Source organism: Homo sapiens, chromosome 6, assembly GCF_000001405.40.
Source record: "Homo sapiens chromosome 6, GRCh38.p14 Primary Assembly".
In the NCBI taxonomy this organism is placed as follows: Eukaryota; Metazoa; Chordata; class Mammalia; order Primates; family Hominidae; genus Homo; species Homo sapiens.
In genome coordinates, this window is record NC_000006.12 from 20,305,453 (window position 1) to 20,329,161 (window position 23,709).

The window sequence follows — 23,709 nt, forward strand, 5'->3', positions numbered from 1 at the left end:
AGTTAGAAATCGGTGTACCCAAAGTGTTTCGTTTGGCCAGAACACTGTTTTACATTTTTATTTTATTTTAAGAGACACAGTTGCTCTGTCACCTAGGCTAGAGAGCAGTGGCATGATCATAGCTCACTTCAGCCTCAAACTCCTGGGCTCAAGTGATCATCCTGCCTCAGCCTCTCGAGTAGCTGGAACTATAGGCACATACCACCAAACCTGGCTAACTTTTTTTTTTTTTAAAGTTTGTAGAAACAAAGTTCTGCCTATGTTGCTCAGGCTGGTCTCAAACTCCTGGCCCCAAGAGATCCTCCTGCCTTAGCTTCCCAAAGTGCAGGGATTACTGGCATGAGCCACCATGCCCAGCTAAAACTTTAAAATCTGAATACCTTACATGAGACATGCGTTCCTTAGAATAACACTGTCAAACAACACTTTCTGCAATGATGAACATGTTCTCTGTCTCCACTGTCCAGTATAGTAGCCAATAGCCATATGTGGCTACCTACAGACCACTTGAAATGTGGCTAGTGAGGTGGAAGGGATGAATTTCAATTGTATTTAATTTCAACTAATTTTAATGTAATAGTCACATGTGGCTAGTAACGATCCAATTGCATAGTACAGCTCTGGAAGGCCACAAGTCCCACCATTCCCTACTTTATCAGCCCCTCACTCTCAGCATCACACATTTTGGTTTTGTGTCTGGCCTCTGAAGGTATTTTGTTTGTGACTCATATTTTATTTATCTTTTTTTTTTTTTTTTTAATTTTGAGATGGAGTCTCGCTGCGATGCCCAGGCTGGAATGCAATGGCATGTCACTGCAACCTCCGCCTCCCGGGTTCAAGCAATTCTCCTGCCTCAGCCTCCCAAGTAACTGGGATTACAGGTGCCTGCCACCACGCCCGGCTAATTTTTGTAGTTTTAGTAGAGACAGGGTTTCATCATATTGGCCAGACTGGTCTCAAACTCCTGACCTCAAGTAACCCACCTGCCTTGGCCTCCCAAAGTGCTGGGATTACAGGCGCGAGCCACTGAGCCCAGCTTTGCGACTGATATTTTAAAGTACTGTGTCTCAAGGAATGGACAGGTTGTACATCCTCTTGTGTTCATTTTTCAACAGATACTCGTACCTGGCTGGTATCAGTTCTGTCAGACACAGCACTTCCCACGTAAGAGGGAACACGCCCAGGTGGACAGCGGTACTGCAGGACGCGAGATGCACAAGGCAGAGGAAGAGCAAGGGCACTGCAGGCACTCGGGAAGGTGTCTCTAGAAAGTCTAATCTGGATTCCGCGGGATAGGAAAGTGCCCTCTCCGGGAGAGCTAAGAATAGAGACAAGTCAGCCGGGGTCGGGGCCAGTACCCAGAAAACGGCATGGCCTATTCTAGGGATTCAAAGATATTCACCAGCATTTAGAATGTGGGGGTGGGAGATTACAAAAGATTGGCAAGGGTAAAATCTTGCAAGATATTTGAACCATATTAAACCAACTTTTGCCTGAAAGCAATAGAAAGCCATTGAAAAATTTTAGGCAGAGGAATAGATTCTTGTCATCTCTACATTGAAAATAATCCACCCAAATTACCATTTGATCCAGCAATGCCCCTTCTGGGTGTATATATACCCAAAAGAATTAAAAGCAGGGTCTCAAAGGGATATTTGTACACTCTTGTTTATGGCAGCATTATTGACAATAGCTGAGAGGTGGAAGCAGCCAAATGTCCATCAACAGATGAAAGGAAAAACCAGATGGGAAATGTACATCCAATGGAGTATTACTCGGCTTTAAAAAGGATGGAAAGTCTGGCAGGGCGCGGTGGCTCACACCTGTAATCCCAGCACTTTGGGAGGCTGACGTGGGCGGATCACCTGAGGTCAGGAGTTCGAGACCAGCCTGACCAACATGGACAAACCCCGTCTCTACTAAAAGTACAAAATTAGTCGGGCATGGTGGCACATGCCTGTAATCCCAGCTATTCCTTGAATCCAGAAGGCAGAGGTTGTGGTGAGCCAAGATCACAGTATTGTACTCCAGCTTGGGCAACAAGAGCGAAACTTCATCTCAAAAAAAAAAAAGGATGATGAGCCTTGAAAATATTGTACTAAGTTAAAGAAGCCAGACACAAAAGGCCACATATTGTGTGATTCCACTTACATGACATAACAGGAGTAGTCAAATTCATAGAGACAGAAAGTAACAGTGGCTGCCAGGGCTGAGGGGAGCAAGGAATGGGAGTTACTGTTTCATGTGTACAGAGTTCTGGTTTAGGAGGATAAACAAGCTCCACCATGGATGTTGGTGATGGTTGCCCCACAATGTGAATGTTCTTAATGCCACTAAACCGTACACTTAAAAATGGTTAAGATGGCAAATTTTGTCATGTATGTTTTACCATAATAAAATATAATAAAATAAATCCACCGTTATCTCTTTGGTTTTGGGTTTTTTTGGTGTTGTTTTTTGTTTTTTTTTTGAGACGGAATTTCGCTCTCGTCACCCAGGCTGGAGTGCAGTGGCATGATCTCAGCTCACTACAACCTCCGCCTCCCGGGTTCAAGCGATTCTCCTGCCTCAGCCTCCCAAGTAGCTGGGACTACAGGCTCCTGCCCCCACACCCAGCTAATTTTTGTATTTTCAGTAGAGACAGGGTTTCACCATGTTGGCCAGGCTGGTCTTGAACTCCTGACCTCAAGTGATCCACCCGCCTCAGCCTCCTAAAGTGCTGGGATTACAGGTGTGAGCCACCACGCCTGGCCAAATCCACCATTATCTCTTGCTAAAACTATGCATAAGCCTCCTAACTGATCTCTCTGCCATTGTTTTTGATCCCTTACAATGTATTTTCCACAGAACAGAGACAGTTGTTTTGAAACAGGAGGCATGTCTCATCTCCCCCCTGCTGAAAAGCTATCAGTGGACGGCCAGGCCTTGCCTGGTCTGGTCCCTCCTCACCTCCCTGGCCTCATTGCCTCCATTCTCCCTCTGGCTCACTCCACTCCAGCCCCACTGTCCTGTTTGCTGTTGTTCAAACACACAAAGCAAGGGTCCACTCTAGAGTCTTCTCACCCAGGAACGTTCTTTCCTCTGATATTCGCCTAGTTTGCTTCTTCACTTCTTTCTACTCAAATACCACTCTTCAAGCCCTCCCTTGACCACCCGATCTAAAAACATCCCTTCCCGAGTTAGTGGGTGCAGCGCACCAGCATGTCACACGTATACATATGTAACTAACCTGCACATTGTGCACATGTACCCTAAAACTTAAAGTATAATAATAATAATAATAATACATAAATAAATAAAAAATAAAAACATCCCTTCCTTGTTCTCCTCTGTAGCAATTATCCCTACCCATCATTTTATCATATATCCATTTGTTCGTCTGCTTATTGTCTGCTTCTTCTGCCATGTAAGTTCCGTAAAGGCAAGGACTTTGCTTTGTACACAGGACTGGGACAGTACCCAGCACGTGGGAAACATTCAATAAATATTTGCTGAATAAAAGAATGTTTGAATGTGCATCTTAGAAAGATTGTGAGAATGGATTGGAGTGGGAGTCCAATAGGAGGCTGGATGGCAGCGACTCACGCAAGCAGTAGAGAGGGCCAGGACAGTGGCAGCTGGGACACAAAGAAATTTAGGGATACAGAGATCTTTAGAAGAGAATCAAGAGGCTGGATGCAGGGTCCATTTGCCAAGCTGGAAACTCAGGAGGAGGAGCAGGTTTTCAGGAGAAGAGAAGAAGCTTGGTTTTTGAACTTGTTCAGCAGACTATCCCAGTAGAGATGTTCAGTGGGCAGTTGGATATGCTCAGCAGAGAGTTCTGGGCTAGAAATATAGATTTAGCAGTTCATAAATATAACATTAGTGGAAATTTTGATAACTGCGAAGCAGCAGTTAGTTGGAGGTTATACATTTGAATAAGTACTTGAATGCACATATTCAATGTTGCCAATTAATGTCAGACTCGTGTGCTTTCATAGTCTGCCAAGCTGGTCATATTTTAAAAAATGTGTATGGAATGCAGGAAATGAAACATCTACTTAAAAATAAAAAGTATTGCTTTGCTGGGAAGGGATTTAAATTTTTTTTAAGATTAAAAAATTTTTTTAAATTAAGTAAATAAAAAGTAAATTTTTATTGTAACTGGATCAACCTTAATGAATGATATCCAATCTTAAGGCCATACATTCTTCAATCTGGCTAATTAAATATGTAAATTAATGTTCAGCCTCTATGGAAGCATCTTCATCCTTTATATTTAAAAGAGATCTCCTACTCGAACCTCATCATTTCACACATGAAGAAATAAAATCCCAGAGAGTTGGATTAGGAGATCTCTTTTAAATATAAAGGATGGATAAAGAGTTCATAATTATGGGTACATTGTTTTCATTTGTGTTTCAGTATATCCTTGGAAGACTCCTTCAAAATTGCTCATTGTGATTTCTCAAAGAACTAAAAATAGAACTATCATGTGATCCAGCAATCTCACTACTGGGTATCTACCCAAAAGGAAAGAAATCATTATATCAAAAAGATACCTGTACCTGTATGTTTATTGTAGCACTATTCATACTAGCAAAGATATGGAATCAATCTGTGTGTCTATCAATGGAGTACTGGATAGAGAAAAAATCTTTCTCTCTCCCTCTCTCTCTCTCTCTCACACACACACACACACACACACACACACACACACACACCATGGAATACTACTTAGCCATAAAAAAAGAATGAAGTCAAGTATTTTACAGCAACATGGAGGGAACTGGAGGCCATTATCCTAACTGAAATAACCCAGAAACAGCAAGTCAAATACTGCATGTTTTGCACTTGTATGTTCATCACAACACTATTCACAATAGCAAAGATATGGAATCAACCTAGGTGCTTTATCCAACTGTGGCTTAGATAAAGAAAATGTGGTACATATATGCCATGGAATACTATACAGCCATAAACAAGAATGAAATCATGTCCTTTGCAGCAACATGGATGCAGCTACAGGCCATTATCCTAAGTGAATTAACACAGAAACACAAAACCAACTACCACGTGTTCTCACTTATAAGTAAGAGCTAAACATTAGGTACTCATGGACATAAAGATGGCAACAACAGACACTAATAGAGGGGGGAAGGAGTCGAGGAGCAAGGGTTAACAAAAAGAAGCCAAATATTAAAATAAATCAAATTTCTATATTATAGAATATTAAAAAGTTTTTCAAAAAAGCTGAGCAAATCCAAAATAGGAAAACCCAAAGAAATACATTTCAAGGCACATCATAAGTAAACCTCTGAAAGCTAAAGGAAAAAAAAATCTTGAAATAGAAAAATTAAAGAAAAAAAGAATTATATGAAATTCAAATCATAGTGGCTATAAAGTTATATTGGAACACACACGCACAAAAAACATACCCCATGTTCTTATAAATGGACACTAAACTATGGGGACACATGAACGTACAGACTGGAATAATAGACACTGGAGACTCAGAAAGGTGGAAGGCTGGCATGAGGGTAAGGTTTGAAAAATGACCTATTGGATGCAATGTTCACTATTCTAGTGATGGGTACTCTAAAAGCCCCGACTTCATCACTACACAATATATGCATGTAAGAAACCTGCACTTGTACCCCCTAAAGTTAGAAAGTTGTTTTAAAAAATTGCTTATTGTTACTGAGCTGTAGTTCATCAATATCAAGGCTACCTGAATATCCTGCAGTTACCCATCTGTTTCACTCAGTGAAGCCACTGTCAAACACTGAGTTTTCACTTTATTACCTTTCAGTAAAATGTAACTGGATGTAGTGACACTGCTGGAGAGAAGAGATATGATCTTCAAGGTGTGTTCAGATTTCACACTACAATTACGTTAGTGCAAACGTAATTGCGGTTTTGTCCATAATAACCTAATAAAAAGTATAGCCATTTCTACCTTGGTTTAAAGTTTTTTAGACTTTAATACCATTCAAAGGCTAGTCTTGAACGAGTTTCCTACTTCATGGAAAAGTAGTATCAGAGGGTGTCCCTGAGGATCAAAATTAAGTGACTGCTCTCAGCATTGAAAGTATTCTATTAGTGGCAGAATAAAGCATGATCTCAATTGTGATGGTCAATCAGCCAGAGCTAGTAATTTTTCTGTTCATTCCAGAAATTAATGGTGGCAGATCCTTTGAATGGCTACTCCTAAAGCCTTCACAGCCTCTTCTCCCTGTCTTTCCTGCTGGCAGCTCTTCCTTGCAACAGGAGGCAGTCAAGTGACCCAATACAAGACCATGAGACATAAGTGGAAGTCTTCTTGGACAAATGCCTGAAAGTTGGCATAGCCATCTCCCCCATTTTCCTTTCTTCCTTCTGGACAAGATGACTTGAATTCAGGGGCCATCTTGAACTTATGAAGGAAAAGGACAAGGGACTCATACACCGTGGGTCCTGACAATGTCTAATTGATAAACAAAAACCACCAATTCCGGATTTCTTGTTGTATGAAAACAAAAATTTTAATTTAAGCCATTGTAGATGTATTTTGTTTCCTGCAGCTAAAAATTATTGCAACGAAAATGCGAATGAAATAACTCAAGTTGCAAGGGTTGGAAGATAGAATTGGGCCTATCAGAATATTTTTGGGTTGGCCCCGGATGTTTACGCATATCTATGTGTGTGTGCATGTTTATATGAAGTCCCTAATACCTCCCCACTGGTTGTAAACTACTTGTGTAAGGTTCTCTGTTGCCCTGGAGTGCAGTGATACGATCTTGGCTCGCTACAACCTCCACCTCCTGGGCTCAAGGGATCCTCCCACCTCAGCCTCCCCAGTTGCTGGGACCACAGGCGCACACCACCACACCTGGTAAATTTTTGTATTTTTGGTACAGATGCGGTTTCACCATGTTGCCAAGGCTGGTCTGGAGCTCCTAAGCTCAAGTGATCTACCCACCTGAGTCTCCCAAAGTGCTGGGATTACAGGTGTGAGCCACTGAGCCCGGCTAGGTTTCCATAATAGGTCCAGTTTTGTCTCTTTTACACTGCCACAATCAAGAATGAAGAAAAAGAGAACCTAGAGAGTTGGTATCGGAAGACAACTTCCATACACATGAAGACTTTTCTAATTTGGTAAGCTTTGAATATCACCAAAAGATTTGAGATATCCTAAGAGCATGAAATTATAAAAACTGTTAGGGACATTCTTAGAGAATTTATGAAGCTCTATAAGGCTGCACCCATGTGACCAAGTGCTGAGGCGCTTAAGGAAAATCTGCTTTGCCCAGCCAGGACTCAGGTGCCGCTCTTGTCCTTACACAACCTTGGAACAACCCGCTTCCTCGTCTGTGCAGTCAGCTTCAGCTGACTAAGCCATTGCGAGCAGTGGGCTCTGTTGCTATTAGTGCCTTGGCCAGATTACTATAAACCATCTGCTGGCTTTCCCTGCATCCCTCATCCTGCAAAGATCACAGTTCAATCTGTTCTACCACACTGGGGCCAAAGCTCCCTGATTGACAATGTTAGTCAATTCAGATGTGAAGATCTTGCCAACAATGGATTGTTTCTTACATCCTTTATATCCCCTGCCCTGTTTCAGTTTTACAAATAACTTTGATAGTTGGCCTTTGAAATCCAGAGACATTTGCTTGGCTCTCTAACTTTGCAGGAAACAGCTGGGCAGATGTCTAAACAATATTTTGTCATCCTTCTAAACTTACCACTAGCCCACTGTGAAACAGGTGAAATCAGCCCTTTCTGGCTGTACTAGAACATCCCCTTAGCACCCTCAGCTTCCTTTTCTCCCCGCTGCCACCTTGTGACTCCCTGACTGGCCAGACCCACCCCCTGGAAAGCCTGTACACGTCTCCCCAGCCAATCATCTGTCACGTTAGGAAAAGTGGCCTCTCATAAGCAAGCTAGCCTAGGCTTAAGGTTTTATACCATCAGGGCACCAGCTTTTCAATAACCACTGTAAATCCAAAAGAGTGAACCTGGTGGCACTATTTCAGGCACCAGTGACAGGCTGCTGGGAGACACTGTGTGCCAATACCTGCCCCAAGAATGCCTCGACCCAGCCTTACTTCATGAGGGGGCCTCTGTGTTCTCCTTACTGTGGGACGACGTGATTACTCTAGCACTTAAAAATAACAAAGTAAAAATAAATGCAAGCTGTACATGTTTTATTTGTCCTCTTCCTGCTATCAATTATTACCTAAATCAAGGCATCTTTTTGTTAGTTATATGAGTTAGAAAATGGTGTCCATGTGTGCAGTGGTGGAAATCCTAGAAGCTTACCCAACCAGTTGACCTGTATCATGCCACTGTAACCACACACAGGCAAAACTTTCCGTCTAAATGAGTCCGAGAAGAAGTCTACTGGGTCACTTTCCTTCGGATCAGAGTCTCTGCCCAGTAGCCACTAAGTATCATTCGATTGCTCTCCCATAACATGAGTGTTCTCTGCTGTGACTTAGTCTGTTTTCGTTTCATGAATTTCTTTGTTTATTCTGCTTACTACAAATGAAACATCAACAAATTATTCTCTCATTAAGTGCATTGTTAGACTCTCCCGCAAATTTTGCAAATTATTCTTTTCAGTGGTATGTGGAAGCTGGCAGAATAAATGATCTGCTGAGTATCTGTCCTGTTTCGGTGGCTCTTGCAGAAAAAAGCATGACAATTATGATAGCAATGTTTTGGGTACTTAAGGCTGATGTCATAACTCATTTCGAAAGTCCTTATAATTACCATCTCCACTCATACCTCCTGCCAGACTTTTTGAATCTTGTTAAAAGTGTCTTTAAAATCATGAGAAGCATGTTCAAAGCAATTTAAGAAAACAAACTTTACACCTTTGCAAAAATAACCCGCCGGGAATTATTGGTGTCAATTCCAAACCCTGACAGACTGCGTGGTGTGAATTTCACCTGCCACTTATGAGTTCCCAAAGGCTTGATTCAGGGCAGCTGGAAAGTAAACAGGAGACTTATGGAAAAATAATTAGTAGGGGACCCCCTGTCCCAGGAGTGTTTTTTATTTCCTTCTCATTCCGTGTGGAATGGACTCCCAGCCTAAAAATCCTTCCTGTTAGAATATGCCAAACAAGAAATGGGCAGATGCGTTCCTGTCTGGGGTGCAAAGCAAGCTTATGCTGCTCACTGTTACTGGGAGCAAAACAAACCAACATGTAGACAAAATGTACTACCAGGCATATGAAGTTACGGATGGACGATTTCACCTGAGGTGCTTCAATGAATTATCAGTTCAATTAACCAGTCCTACTGTGAGCTCTTCTCTCCTCTTATGTCCCTGGTGAGCCCTCAAAGGAAGCCTCTGCTCTTCCAGGTGTGAAACAAGCACAATGATAAGCTCACATATTAGTCATGTCATCAAGGATTGGTCTCACAGCCCTGTCTCTGTGTCTGTCTCACTTTACTTGCCTGAGCCTATAAGACCAACACAGAAATGTGCAAGGGGAATGTCTGTTTTTTTCGCTGTCTTCATCACAGCCTCTTTTCTTATTCCTGCTGTTGATGCTGTCTCTCTAGCTCTACTAACTTCCATCTGGGTGCCAATTCTGTCCTGCAAAGCCAGATGGAATTACAACCCAACACTGCATGGTTTGGGTGCAAGTAGGTTACCTACTTGTTCTATACATCCTATCAGTACTTAGATAAATGAGAATCTTTGGACATCATAAAATAATGATTACTTTTTAGTTTACATGTTCAAAGGGCATGAAGAGATACAGGAGGGAGAGTCTTATTCAGTTTCTTTTTTCTAACTACATGCTTTCAATCAATTCAATGGGATTATATGGTAAACTTATAAGGAAGTAATTTTGTGTCTATTCTCTGCTAATCTGGGAAAAAAATAGGGGAAATGGTAGTGCTATAATGCAGTGAATTAGCTCAGGCTTAACAAGTTCCTGCAATGACTGCTTTGTTAGGTAAATGATATCTTCACATGCTTTAAGGATTAGAAAAACCCAGTGCTGGAGAGACAAAAATGGATCTGTCAAACAATCTGAATGAACCCTGCCAGAAGTTTTCCTTACTTTTACTTCTAGAGGAAATTAGGCTTAGTATTAATTTTGTGATAAATTTTTTAAACCCTCAAAAAGTCTTTGAGAAGGCTGAGCATGGTGGCACGTGCCTATAGTCCCAGCTACTCGGGAGGCAATGCAGGAAGATTGCTTGAGCCCAGGAGTCTGAGGCCAAAGTGCGCAATGATCACACTTGTGAATATTCACTGCACTCCAGTCTGGGCAACACTGTGAGAACTTGTCTTAAAAATATTTTTTAATCTTTGAGAAGTAATACATTTAACAATGTAATATTTAAAGGCAGTGTTTGGCTTCACACTGACATAGTTTCAAATCCTGGCTCTGCCACTCATCAGCTGTATGACCTTGGACATTGGACAGATTAGTAAGACTCAGTTTCCTCATCTACAAAAGAGGAATGAGAGGATTTCTTTCTTTCTTTTTTTTTTTTGAGATGAAGTCTCACACTGTCGTCTTGGCTCACTGCAGCCTCCACCTCCTGGGTTCAAGCGATTTTCCTGCCTCAGCCTCCCAAGTAGCTGGGACTACAGGCGTGCCCCACCACACCCAGCTAATTTTTGTATTTTTAGTAGAGACGAGGTTTCACTATGTTGGCCAGGCTGGTCTCGAACTCCTGACCTCGTGATCTGCCAACCTCGGCCTCCCAAAGTGCTGGGATTACAGGCATGAGACACCGCGCCCAGCCGAGAGGATTTCTATGAGGTTTAATGTGAGACATCATGTATATAAAAGTGGTATAACATAATAGTGATGAGGAATCCCTGACTTGGGATCAGATCCAGGCACAGCTTATTAGTTAGGTGACTTTGTGAAGATTATTTAACTTCTCTGAACTTCAAAGGTGCTGTGATTCGTATGTTACAGTGCTGCTGGAGTTTCAGTGAGACTCTAGTACAGGGGTTGGCAAACTTCTCTCTCTCTCACTCTCTCTTAAAAGCAAGGTCTCACTATGCTGCCCAGGCTGGACTTGAACTCCTGGGCTCAAGCAATCCTCCTGCTTCAGCTTCCTGAGTAGCTAGGACTACAGGCATACACCACTATGCTCGACTACACTTTTCTTTAAAGGCTAAAATGGTAAATATATTAGGTTTTGCAGGCCACATGGTCTCTGTCACAACTACTCAACTCTGCCCTTGTTGCACAAAAGCAGTCATAGAGAATATTTAAATGAATAGGTGTGGCTGTGTTCCAAAAAAATTTTACTCACAAAAACAGGTGGTGGGTCAGATTTTGTCCATGAGCCATAATTTGCCAATTCCTGCTCTGGTAGATGATCGATAAATGATAGCTCTAGGAAGAAACAATCTTATTAATTAAGATAATTGATAACAGATGAGATATAAAGTAAAAAACATTGAAGATTCTAATCTTTCTTTAGACATATGTAAGATTTTCCACAATTACTCCATGTTAGATTTTCATATGGATTTTATGAATAATAGTGCAGGTCACTTCCTTCTGACAAAATCTTTTTTTTTAAGTTGTAATTTCTGGCAAAAAAAAAAAAAACAACAAAAAACAAAGACAAAAAGACACGTTTTCAAGACAATACACAAATCTACATGTTTTTATTACATGTATTAAGTAAAAAGAATTACAAAACTGAAAAAAAAAGCAAAATCCCAAAACACAAATTATGCACAATAGTAGAACTGGCAGTACTCCCTCAAAGACTCCAAAACAACGAGAAATCATCTGACATCAACTAGGTTATGAGAGAGAAAAGAAGAAAGTGTGACAACAAAATTAGAACATGCACCAATACAGAAAGACTTCAATAAACTTGTAAACATTGGGAAGAAATAACAAAAGAAATTAATGGATTTGTAAAAGATAGAATTAAAGGCAAATGCTTCATGGTGCACTTAGAAAACAGAAGCTGCAGGTAAATAACACAGCAATCAGTAAAAATAGAAAATTAAATGGCATACTGAAAATAAAGAACAAGAAGATCCAACTTAAGGATAATAAACTAAATAGATGAGGCTGTAATGTAAATCACCGTGTACAGTCACTGCTAGTTGCTAATTTTATATCCACTCTTAAGAGCATGAGAGAACCACGATGAAGAAAGTCATGTGCTAAGAAAGGCAGAGAAGAAAAGCTGAAGAAATCTGGGTGATTGACAGAAACCATGATTAATGACATCACGGAGCTACTAGACCAGCCCGGGCCTGCCTGTCTCCATGCTTCTTGGAACGTGAGAAAAATAAACTGTATTTGATTATGTTCCTTTATTCAGGTTCTCTTACATGCAGGTGAATATAATCCCTAACTGATGTTCATACTACATATTATCAAATCTAGAATGCTGTAGATTTTAAGATGCCCCTTTTTTTAAATTATACTTTAAGTTTTAGGGTACACGTGCAAAACGTGCAGGTTAGTAATATATGTATACATGTGCCATCTTGGTGTGCTGCACCCATTAACTCGTCTTTTAACTTTAGGTATATCTCCTAATGCTATCCCTCCCCGCTCCCCCCACCCCACAACAAGCCCCGGTGTGTGATGTTCCCCTTCCTGTGTCCATGTGTTCTCATTGTTCAATTCCCACCTTTGTGCACAACTTACTACTAAGGAAACAAATCTTACCAATTATGCTATAACACAATGCCAAGATAGTCATATTAGATATGAGACTTGAACACACCTAGCTTTCTTACTTTGACATTTCTTTTGCTTATTCTGAAGGATTTTTCAGTTTCTCTGGACATCCATTTCATTGTAGGAGGATGATAAGCAATCCTTTCAGACATATTTCAGTGACTAAACCAAATCTACTTGTGGATATCTTTTCTTCAGTTCCACTTGGCTTTTGCTTTTCAAAACCACCTCATATTTTGTGCTTTGCACAAAAGCACCTGACCAAGAGGGACAAATGGGAGCTGAAATCCAGCTTGCACTCGAATATTCTGGCATGTGGCTGCCACCAAAAACAGAGACAGAAACATACTTGCGACGCATCTGCCTGCGGAGAGGACTTCTTCTGGTTTGCACAATGGGTCGGTGTGTGGTACCTGTAACCCTGGCACTGAGGTATGGTGCAAAAAAGGAAAAACACGTTTCCTCACTTCATAGCTTTTCTAGGGAAGAGAGATTGCAAAGAATGAAGTGTGATGATGGCTGTGAAGAAGGTCCCAGGCTCTGGGACACAGGACAAGCACGACTAACATAGGGGGTCAGGAAAGGCCGACACCTGCTGAGCGGGAGTTAGCTGGGTGAAGGGACAGTTGAGATACAACAGCGTGCTGTCAGCCCTCACAGCCCTCACTCGGTCTCGGTGCCTCCTCGGCCTCAGCGCCCACTCTGGCCGCGCTTGAGAAGCCCTTCAGCCCACCGCTGCACCGTGGGAGCCCCTTTCTGGGCTGGCCAAGGCCGGAGCCGGCTCCCTCAGCTTGCGGGGAGATGTGGAGGAAGAGGCGCGGGCAGGAACCGGGGCTGTAAGGGGCGCTTGCGGGCCAGCGCGAGTTCCGGGTGGGCGTAGGCTCGGCCGGCCCCGCACTCGGAGCGGCTGGCATACCTGCAAGCCCCGGGCAGTGAGGGGCTTAGCACCTGGGCCAGCAGCTGCTGTGCTCCATTTCTCGCCGGGCCTTAGCTGCCTCCCCGCGGGGCAGGGCTTGGGACGTGCAGCCCGCCATGTCTGAGCCTCCCCTACCCTCTCCTGACGGGCTCCTGCGCGGCCTGAGGCTCCCCTACGAGCGCCGCTCCCTGCTCCATGGGGCGCCCAGTACCATCGACCGCCCAAGAGCTGAGAAGTGCGGGCGCACAGCGTGAAACTGGCAAGCAGCTCCACCTGTGGCCCCAATGCCAGATCCACTGGGTGAAGCCTGCTGGGTTCCTGAGTCTGGTTGGGACTTGGAGACTCTTTATGTCTAGCTAAGGGATTGTAAATACACCAATCAGCACTCTGTATCTAGCTCAAGGTTTGTAAACACACCAATCAGCACTCTGTGTCTAGCTCAGGGTTTGTAAATACACCAATTGACACTCTGTATCTAGCTAATGTAGTGGGGAGGTGGAGAACTTTTGCCTCTAGCTCAGGGATTGTCAATGCACCAATCAGCACCCTGTGAAAATGGACCAATCAACTGTCTGTAAAACAGACCAATCAGCTCTCTGTAAAATGAACTAATCAGCAGGATGTGGGTGGGGCCAGATAAGAGAATAAAAGCAGACTGCCTGAACCAGGAGTGCCAAATTGCTCCACTATACTTTCATATTGTGGTGGTTATGTTTTTTGGGTTTAGGCTGCTTTTATGAGCTGAAAAATTGTGAAAGTACGTAGCTTTACTCCGGAAGCCAGTATAAGCTATGAACCCACGAGGAGGAAAAAACAATTTTAATGTATATTGCTTTAAGTGCGGTAAGTCACCACGAAGTATATGCAGTCTTTACTTCCGACCCGGCATAGACCATGAGCTCTCGAGAAAAACTGACCGCATCAGAAGGAACAAACTCCAGACACACTCTCCTTAACTGTAACATTCGTGTGACAACAACAACTTCCTTGTTGAAGTCAGACCAATTCTGGACACAGTGGTAGTGAGAGAGAACGGTATGGCAGTACCCTTCACTTGCTCTCAGTTCCTCTTTGTCCTCTGCTCATTCTGGTTGTGCTTGACAAGCCTTTCGGCTCAGCGCTATACCGTGGGAGCTCTTTAGCTGACTGAGGCCGGAAGCAGCCGCGTTGGGTTGCAGGGAGGTGCGGCAGGAGAGGCACGGGCGGGAACCTGTACTGCACGCAGGTGGGCGTGGTGAGCCTTGCACTGAGAGCAGCAAGGGGCTTAGCACCTGGGCCAGCAGCTATGGAAGGTGTGCTGGATTCCCCCAGCAGTGCTGGCCCACGAGTTCTGTGTTCAATTTCTTGCTGGGCCTTAACTGCCTCCTGGCAGGCTATTTGTATGGCTCAGGACCAGCAGCCCGTCATGCCTGAGTCTCCCCATCTTTTTGTGGCCTCCTGTGCCGCTTGAGTTTCCCAGATGAGCGCTGCCCCCTCTTTCAGGGCACCTGGTCCCATCCGCTGCCCAAGGGCTGAGGAGTGGGGGGGTGCGTGGTGTGGGACTCATAGGTAGCTCCACCTACAGCCCCAGTGTGTGATTCCACTGGGTGAAGCCAGTTGGGCTCCTGAGTCTAGTGGGGACTTAGAGAATCTTTGTCTAGCTAAGGGATTGTAAATACGCCAATCAGCACACTGCGTCTAGCTCAGGGTTTGTGGATGCACCAGTCGGCACTATCTGGCTCAAGGTTTGTAAATGCACCTATCAGCCCTCTTGTCTGCAAAGTTTGTAAATGCACCAATCAGCGTTCTGTCTACAAGGTTTGTAAATGCACCAGTCAGCACTCTGGCTACAAGGTTTGTAAATGCATCAATCAGCACTCTGTCTAGCTCAGGGTTTGTAAATACACCAACTGACACTCTGTGTCTAGCTAATCTAGTGGGGAGGTGGAGAACTTTTGTGTCTAGCTCAGGAATTGTAAATGCACCAATCAGCACCCTGTCAAAACGGACCAATCAGCTGTCTGTAAAACAGACCAATCGGCTCTCGGTAAAATGGACCAATCAGCAGGATGTGGGTGGGGCCAGATAATAAAAGCAGGCTGCCGGAGCCGGCAGTGGCAAGCCGCTCGTGTCCCTTTCCACCCTGAAAATTTTGTTTTTTTGTTCTTTGCAATAAGTCATGCTGCTGCTCCCTAGGTTCACCCTGCCTTTGTGAGCTGTAACACTCACCGTGAAAGTCTGCAGCTTGACTCTTGAGCCAGTAAGACCAGGAGCCCACCAGAAGGAGGAAACTCCGAACACATCTGAATATCAGAAGGAACAGAACACATCTGAATATCAGAAGGAACAAACTCCGGACACGCTACCTTTAAAAACTGTAATACTCACCGCGAGGGTCTGCGGTTTCATTCATGAAGTCAGTGAGACAAAGAACTCACCAATTCCGGACACAGTGGGAGCAAAGGCATGGCAGGAGGAGAGAACTGCGTGTGTGAGGAATAAAAACAACATGTTGCAATTGAGGAAGGCGTGAATTTATGGGGAGAATACAGAGATGAAGACTTAAAACGGTAAGAGAGGACGGGTGCACTGGCTCACGCCTATAATCCCTGCACTTGGGGAGGCTGAGGGTGGGGGTATCACTTAAGGTCAGGAGTTCAAGACCAGCCTGGCCAACATGGTGAAACTCCATCTCTACTAAAAATACCAAAATTAGTCCGGGCGCAGTCGCCTGCGCCTATAGTCTCAGCTACTTGGGAGGCTGAGGCAGGAGAATCGCTTGAACCAGGAGGTGGTAGGTGCAGTAAGCTGAGATCATGTCACTGCACTCAAGCCTTGGTGACAGAACGAGATTCCACTTCAATAAAATGAGAAAACAATATATTGGCCAAAAAAATTAATGGATTTGAGAAACATTTAGAAGGTGCAAGTGACAAAATAATTAGATTGGCTTGTGGGGAGAGAAGGGTATAGGGAAGAATGCAGGTAAGAAAACAAAACAGCCCAGGAGAAGATAAGGGGAGAATAGATGGTCGTGCCATTTATTTAACTAGGGAAGAAGAGCAGGTGTAGTCTAGAGACCAGATTATTGCATTTTGAACATGTTGAGTCTCCTGCAATATCCAGCTGGAGACGACAGGTCCTTCCATCTCTCCTCCCTCACCTCCAGCCATGCTCCTCTTGTATATTTCCTCTTCCATGTTCTCCCTCCTGAGTCCAAGACCTCCCAACCTCAGGTCTTAAATTCCCATCAAAGAAAGCAAACAAAAATTTTTTAAAACAAAATAAATGAAAATGATTGATTATACTCCCCAGAGAAGGCATTCACAGCAAGACATGTAACAAACTATTTCATATCAGAATCAAGCATCTGCAGTTGGATTATGGCCTCTGCTCTGGAGCTTCTCCCAAACGATGAGTGGGTAATTAATCCTGTATCTGCTGAGGAAAAATGGTCTCCAGTGGGATCTGTCTCAGGAGACATCAAGAAAGTAACGCCTCTCGAGTAGCTGAGGTGGGCGGATCATGAGGTGAAGAGTTCGAGACCATCCTGGCCAACATAGTGAACCCTGTTTCTACTAAAAATACAAAAATTGGCTGGGCGGGGTGACACGCGCGTGTAATCTCAGCTACTCGGGAGGCTGAGGCAGGAAAATCACTTGAATCCGGGAAGCAGACGTTGCAGTGAGCCGAGACCGTGCCACTGCAGCCACTGCACTCCAGCTTGGCAATAGAATGAGGTTCCGTCTCAAAAAATTAAACTGACGCTTCCCCAACTTATATAATTGCAGAATTCATTCAAGTTAACTATTAATATGCTGTTATGGATTGAATTGGGACCCCCTCAAAATTTATGTATTGAAATCCTAACCCCAGTACCTCAAAATAAGACCTTACTTGGAAACAGGATCTTTACAGAGGTAATCAAGTCAAATGAGGTCATGAAGGTGGGCTGTATTCCAAAATGAATGGTATCCTTATAAAGAGGGACACAAAAACTGGCACAGAAGGAAGACATGTTAAGAAAATGGGCATCCACAAGCCCAGGAGAGATGCCTGGAACAGATCCTGCCTTCTCAGTCCTCAGAGGGAACCAACCCTGTTTGGACTTCTAGCACAACTGTGAGACAATCCATTTCTTTAAGCCATCCGGTCTGTGGCACTTGGTCACAGCAGACCCAGAAAAGGAATGTCCAGGAACACACTTAGGGAAAACACTGAGGAAGGGACAGCATAGCCTGCCTGATGGACCATAAAAAAGTAAGAGTTACTATCATTATTTGATTTTAAGGTGGAATAAATAAAATCATATAATCATAAAAGGTATAATAAACAAGGGCCTGAGAATACCAGAACATCACAAAAGGAAAAAATAGGCAGAAAGAGAACGATAATTTGAAATGTCAGTGTTTCATATAACAAATCAGGAGTATTCAGATTTGATGAAGAAAGTGCGGAGTTGATAAGTGTAATAAATTAGATAGAATTAACAGTCATGCATTTGATAGAATACATGATAGAATCATATCAGAAGCTAATATACTTTTTGCCATGAATGTGTCATCAAAAATATCAAATAAAGCACAAAAATTTCTTCATATAAAGAAAAAGACAGATTCTCCATACTACTTTCCCAAAGTAAAAAGGCATACAATTTGAGATTAAAAAAATTCAAAATTCCTTAAAATTTTTAACTAATCTCCTAAATAATAACCTACATTAGAGAAGAAATCTACAAATAACCCCAATATATTCTAAAAAATATATAGTCATATAATGCACACACATTGATCAATTATAAAGTGCGTATGGCTAATGCATAATTGTGTAAGCAATATACAAGGAAATGCATCAAAATAATCATGTTGTCTTTGCGTTGTGGAAGTGAGCCGTAATTTTTCTTACTGTGTGAATTTTCTAAACTATCTCCTTTTTTGTTTTTTGGGTTTTTTGTTTGTTTGTTTGTTTGTTTGTTTTTTGAGACAGAGTCTTGCTCTGTTACCCAGGCTGGAGTGCAGTGGCGTGATCTTGGCTCACTGCAACCTCTGTCTCCTGGGTTCAGGCAATTCTCCTGCCTCAGCCTCCCAAGTAGCTGGGATTACAGGCACGTGCCACCAAGCCTGGCTAATTTTTTGTATTTTTGTAGAGATGGAGTTTTGCCATGTTGGCCAGGCTGGGCTCAAATTCCTGACCTCAGGTGATCTGCCCCCTTGGCCTCCCAAAGTGCTGGGATTGCAGGCGTGAACCACTGTGCCCGGCCTATCTCCTTTTTAAAAAAGAAGAGAGGCATCGAAAGAGTAGGAAAAGGAGAACTAATAAAGCAAGCATAAATAAAGTAGGAAAAAAACTGTAGAATCAGTAACAGAAGATTCTTTGACAATTTTTTAAAGTGTTAATCATTGAAATAAAAGGAAAACCCAAATTATTAATATTCAGTGTAAGAAAAAGCTATAATTTAAACCAAAATTTTTTATTTCACTGAAATGGAGAGATTTTTTTTCAATTTTTATGTTAAAACCCTTTACAACTGGCCAGGCCTGCAGTGGCTCATGCCTGTAATCCCAACACTTTGGGAGGTCAAGGAGGGTGGATCACTTGAGGTCAGGAGTTCGAGACCAGCCTGGCCAACATATAGCAAAACCATACCTCTACTAAAAATACAAAAATTACCTGTGTGTGGTGGCCTGTGCCTGTAGTCCCAGCTACTTGGGAAGCTGAGGTAGGAGAATCGCTTGAACCCAGGAGGCAGAGGTTGCACTGTGCTGAGATCATGCCACTGCACTCCAGCCTGGGTGACAGAGCGAGACTCCATCTCTGAAAAAAAAAAAAAAAACACTTTTACAATTAAAATGAAATGAGTGAGTTTTGACAAATATAAATCATAAAAGCTAATAGAGCTAGCACAAATACAGTCTATTCCCACTGAGGCAGCCTCCTGCATCAGCTCATGAGATTTCCTAAGAACTTCGTTAAAAAGTGGTCTGTCGGCACCAGTTACGTGGGTTATTCCACCCTTGAGTGAAAAACTAACAGGAGATGATTTATTATAATAGACTCCTTATAGTAGGGGGGAAAAGCTAACATAAATAAATAGAAAAAAATTATAAAGGAAAGGAGGAGGAGAAAGGCACTTGGCCCTGCTGAATTTGCGGATCTTTCAAATAACACAGATTTGTGTCACATGTTCATTGTTGCAAAAAATTGAAAAAGGCAATATGTTTCTGAACTGATTTGATAAATTAAACATGGATTTACTTCCCAATCCTAAGACCAATATCAAAAGGAGAAAATTATAATTTCCAGCATATATGCAAAGGAAGAAAAGGAGTAAGGAGGGTTGAAGAAAGGGGTAGATAGGAGAGAGAAAGGAAGTGAGGAAGTAAAGGAAAGAAACAAGGAAGAAAAAAATCATTCCAAATACTTAAAAATAAATTGTCACTGATCATGAAGGAAAATTTATTCCAAGAATGCAAGGTTGATATAACGCATAAAACATTATCAAGATAATTCATCATATTAACAAGGCATAAAGTAAAAATCATATAACTATACATAGGCGGGTACAAAAAAAGTATTTGATTAAATACAAAATATTTTCTTGATTAAAACCCCTAGGAATTCTTCTTTCTTAATATGATAAAGAATATATATTTAAAACTGATAATAACTATTACACTTAGCATAGAACATTAGAAATGCTCAGGCCGGGTGCAGGGACTCACACCGGTAATCTCAACACTTTGGGAGACCAAGGCAGGAGGATCAACTGAGGCCAGTCATTCAAGACCAGGCTGGACAACATAGTGAGACCCATGTCTTGACAAAAAATAAAAAGTATATCAGCCAGACCTGGTGGTGTGCCTGTAGTCCCAGCTACTCGGAAGGCTGAGGTGGGAGGACTGCTTGAGCCCAGGAGTTTGAGACGACCAGCTGGGCAACATAGGAAGACCCTGTCTCTACAAAAAAAATTTTTAAATTAGCCAGGTGTTGTGGTGGGTACCTGTGGTTCCAGATACTCAAGAGGCTGAAGTGGGAGGATTGCTTTAGCCCAGGAGGTCAAGGCTGCAGTGAGTCATGATCACACCACTGCACTCCAGCCTGGTGACAGAACAAGACCCTATCTATAAATAAATAGATAAATACCTTTAGGATCCATCTTTGAAATTAGGTTGTTGCAGTAAATTAAAATGGAAACGAGACCTGAAGAACCCCTGAGCAGACAAAGCTAATTAGGCCCGATGAGTGACTAACCTTGCTTGATTTGTTAACATAAGCCAAACTTAGCTTGAGCAATGTCTTGCAAATACTTATGTCAAAGAAAAGCAGAACTTAAGCTCAACCAATTGGAAGCAGCCAGCAAAATTAAATTATATAACTAGGGACTTTCCAGAGGGATAGATCAAGTAAGGCAACTTTATAACTGTAACCAACCAAATATTTTCTTTGTATTACTTACAAATTCACTCTATAAAAGTCTGTTCTTGACACTTCAGCAGAGCCCAAAAACCTCTTTCAGTTTGGCGCTTCCCAATTCATGAATTACTGTTTGCTCAATTAAACTCTTTAAAATGTTATTGTGTTTCAATTTACCTTTTAACAAGCTAACATTGATTCATATTATAAAAATCTGGTATTTTTTACAGTTATACAAAATCTGTATATTTTTATAGTTATTTTAAAAAAACCTGTATATTTTTTACAATTGGGACTGTATACAGACAAGTGTACTAACAATAGTTGGTAAGCTATAGAGTGGTATGCCTTTCCAGAAAGCAGTCAGGCAATATTTGAAAGCATTATAAGGTGAAGCATGGTGGCTCACACCTATAATCCCAACGCTTTCAGAGTCTGAGGTGGGAGAATCGCTTGAGCCCAGGAGTTTGAGAACAGCCTGGGCAACACAGGGAGATCCATCTGTACAAAAAATAAAAAAATTAACTGAGCATGGTGGTGCCTGCCTGCAGTCCTAGCTACTCAGGAGGCTGAGATGGGAGAATCACTTGGACCCAGGAGATCGAGGCTACATTGAGCAGAGATCGCACCACTGCACTCCAGCCTGGGTGACAGGGAGAGACCCTGTCTGAAAAAAATAAAATAAAAAGCAGTACAAAATGATTTTGCAAGTTGACAAAATAAAAATAATTTAGATATATAATCCCATTCCCCCCAAACTTCCAAATTTTAAAAATAATTCATACAAGAATGTTCATGGCGACATTTTAATAGGAAGATGTTAGAAACAGCAGCTGCACATACCCAAATGCCCAACAGTGGGTGATGCCTACACCGGGTGACTGTAAATGTCACGCGAAGTCTCTCTTGTCTCTTACATGCACTGACTCAGCGAATAACAGCACCACCCAAACAGTAACCCAACAGAGAAACCCAAGAATTCTTCCTTTACCTTATTCCAGCCCTCTCCCATGTATTAGCTTCCTAACTTGTTTCAGCCTCCAATGTCACCCTCCTCCAACTCATCTTCCACAGTGGTGCCACAGCGCTAATTCTGAAATTCAAACCTCCCCGTCCCCCTCCCCATGATTGCCTATAAGTTAAAATCCAAACAGCATGGCGTCCAAAGTCCTCCAAGACCCGACCCTACCTACCAGTTTGTTTCTTCACCCTCACACACCCTATTCGCTAACCATCTGGACTGTTTACAATTCGACGAGTCCATCATGCTCTTTACAACCCTGTGCTCTGCCTAGATTGCCTTTCCTGGCCTTCTCATCCTCCTGACAAAGTCTCCTCATCTTTTAAGCTTAACTCAACTTTCAAGTCCTCATATACCCCTCCTAATGTAGCAGGGTTGAAAGACATGCACTTCCACTAAGGTATGCAAAAATGTGTGATTTTATTTATTTTCTTTCTATTGTATTATTTCTGCTAATAATAGGGGTAGTGGAGTGGGAGCAACCCAACTTGTCCATTAAATGTAATTCTGTTTCTTTAGCTTTAAAACTGTTACTTTAAGGAAGACAGAGAACCTCCTCCTGAGACCAGAAGATCCAACATTTTATTAAACAATTTCTTTCCTTTTTCTTTTTTTTTTGAGACGGAGTCTCACTCTGTTGCCCAGACTGGAGTGTAGTGGCACAATCTTGGCTCACTGCAACCTCCGCCTCCTGGTTTCAAGCAATTCTCCTGCCTCAGCCTCTCAAGTAGCTGGGATTACAGGCACCCACCACCATGCCCGGCTAATTTTTGTATTTTTAGTAGAGACAGGGTTTCACTATGTTGGCCGGGCTGGTGGTTTCAAACTCCTGATCTCAAGTGGTCCGCCCACCTCGGCCTTCCAAAATGCTGGGATTACAGGCATGAGCCACCGTGCCCAGCCAATTTCTTTCCTTTCAAAGGAACTCATGCACTTCCAACACTTCCCAAGATGGCATCTAGATGCAGAAAAATACGTCTCTTCATTCCAGTGAGGTGACATGCTTCAGATTCCTCCCTGGCTGTGTCGACATGTCATTTGCCTTAGCAGGTTTCTGAATATCCTGAAGTGGTAGCTGCTGAGATGTGGCTTGTCCAGCTTGGTTTGTTTTAACTATTGTGATGATATCATCAGAAATCCAAGACCTCTGGCATCCCTGGTTGAGAAGCCCCATATTCTGAAGCCTCCTCATTTCTGAGCCCAGGAAGCTTTTCTGGCCCCTATCCTTCCACTCTTTTAGAGCCCTGCACTGAGGCTGCTGGAGCTTCTGGGTGTCTTCAGTGCTGTGTGCAGGCTGTAGGCACCTGGTGCACTGTCTCACACCCCTATATTTAGATTTGTCCTCTGCCAATGCTATTCTACTGTTCTTGTGTCATATTGGATGTGGTGATGTGATGAATTACCCCCAAATAATGTCCAAAGAAGCAGGAATCTACCCCAATATTCTGCATTGCCACAAAACTACCTGGGTGTTCTACACCCTCCTCAACTCTGAAGGAGGAGTCCAACATTCATCACTAAAAACTCTTGCCCTTTTTCTCCTCTCTCCTGGGTGCCTTCTGTTAGTGCTGGAATGGGTTTCTAATCTCCCTTCCTGATTTACAAGAGCCCTCTACATCAGTGAATATAAATCGCCTTAGGATCCTATTAAAATGCAGACTCCAATTCAATCATTCTGGAATCTGGCCTGAGAGTCTGCATTTCTAACAAGCTCCCTGGTGA

The 23,709-nt window shown here is 42.6% G+C and overlaps 1 long non-coding RNA gene across 1 annotated transcript in view, besides 2 other annotated features; it reads left to right on the forward strand.

Annotated features, from left to right (window-relative positions):
* LOC101928573 (uncharacterized) overlaps window positions 1–23,709 on the forward strand; it is a 67,731-nt gene that overhangs the window by 39,826 nt on the left and 4,196 nt on the right. The window contains exon 3 of the long non-coding RNA XR_007059489.1: window positions 15,750–16,123. This is a non-coding gene — a long non-coding RNA (uncharacterized LOC101928573). The remainder of the gene's footprint in view (window positions 1–15,749; window positions 16,124–23,709) is intronic.
* Window positions 14,282–14,361: an enhancer, noted in NCBI's record as "active region_24126". NCBI's record gives its function as "activates an Ori minimal core promoter by ATAC-STARR-seq in GM12878 lymphoblastoid cells {active_cell/tissue: GM12878}" and the evidence as "EXISTENCE:reporter gene assay evidence [ECO:0000049][PMID:35858748]".
* Window positions 15,102–15,151: an enhancer, noted in NCBI's record as "active region_24127". NCBI's record gives its function as "activates an Ori minimal core promoter by ATAC-STARR-seq in GM12878 lymphoblastoid cells {active_cell/tissue: GM12878}" and the evidence as "EXISTENCE:reporter gene assay evidence [ECO:0000049][PMID:35858748]".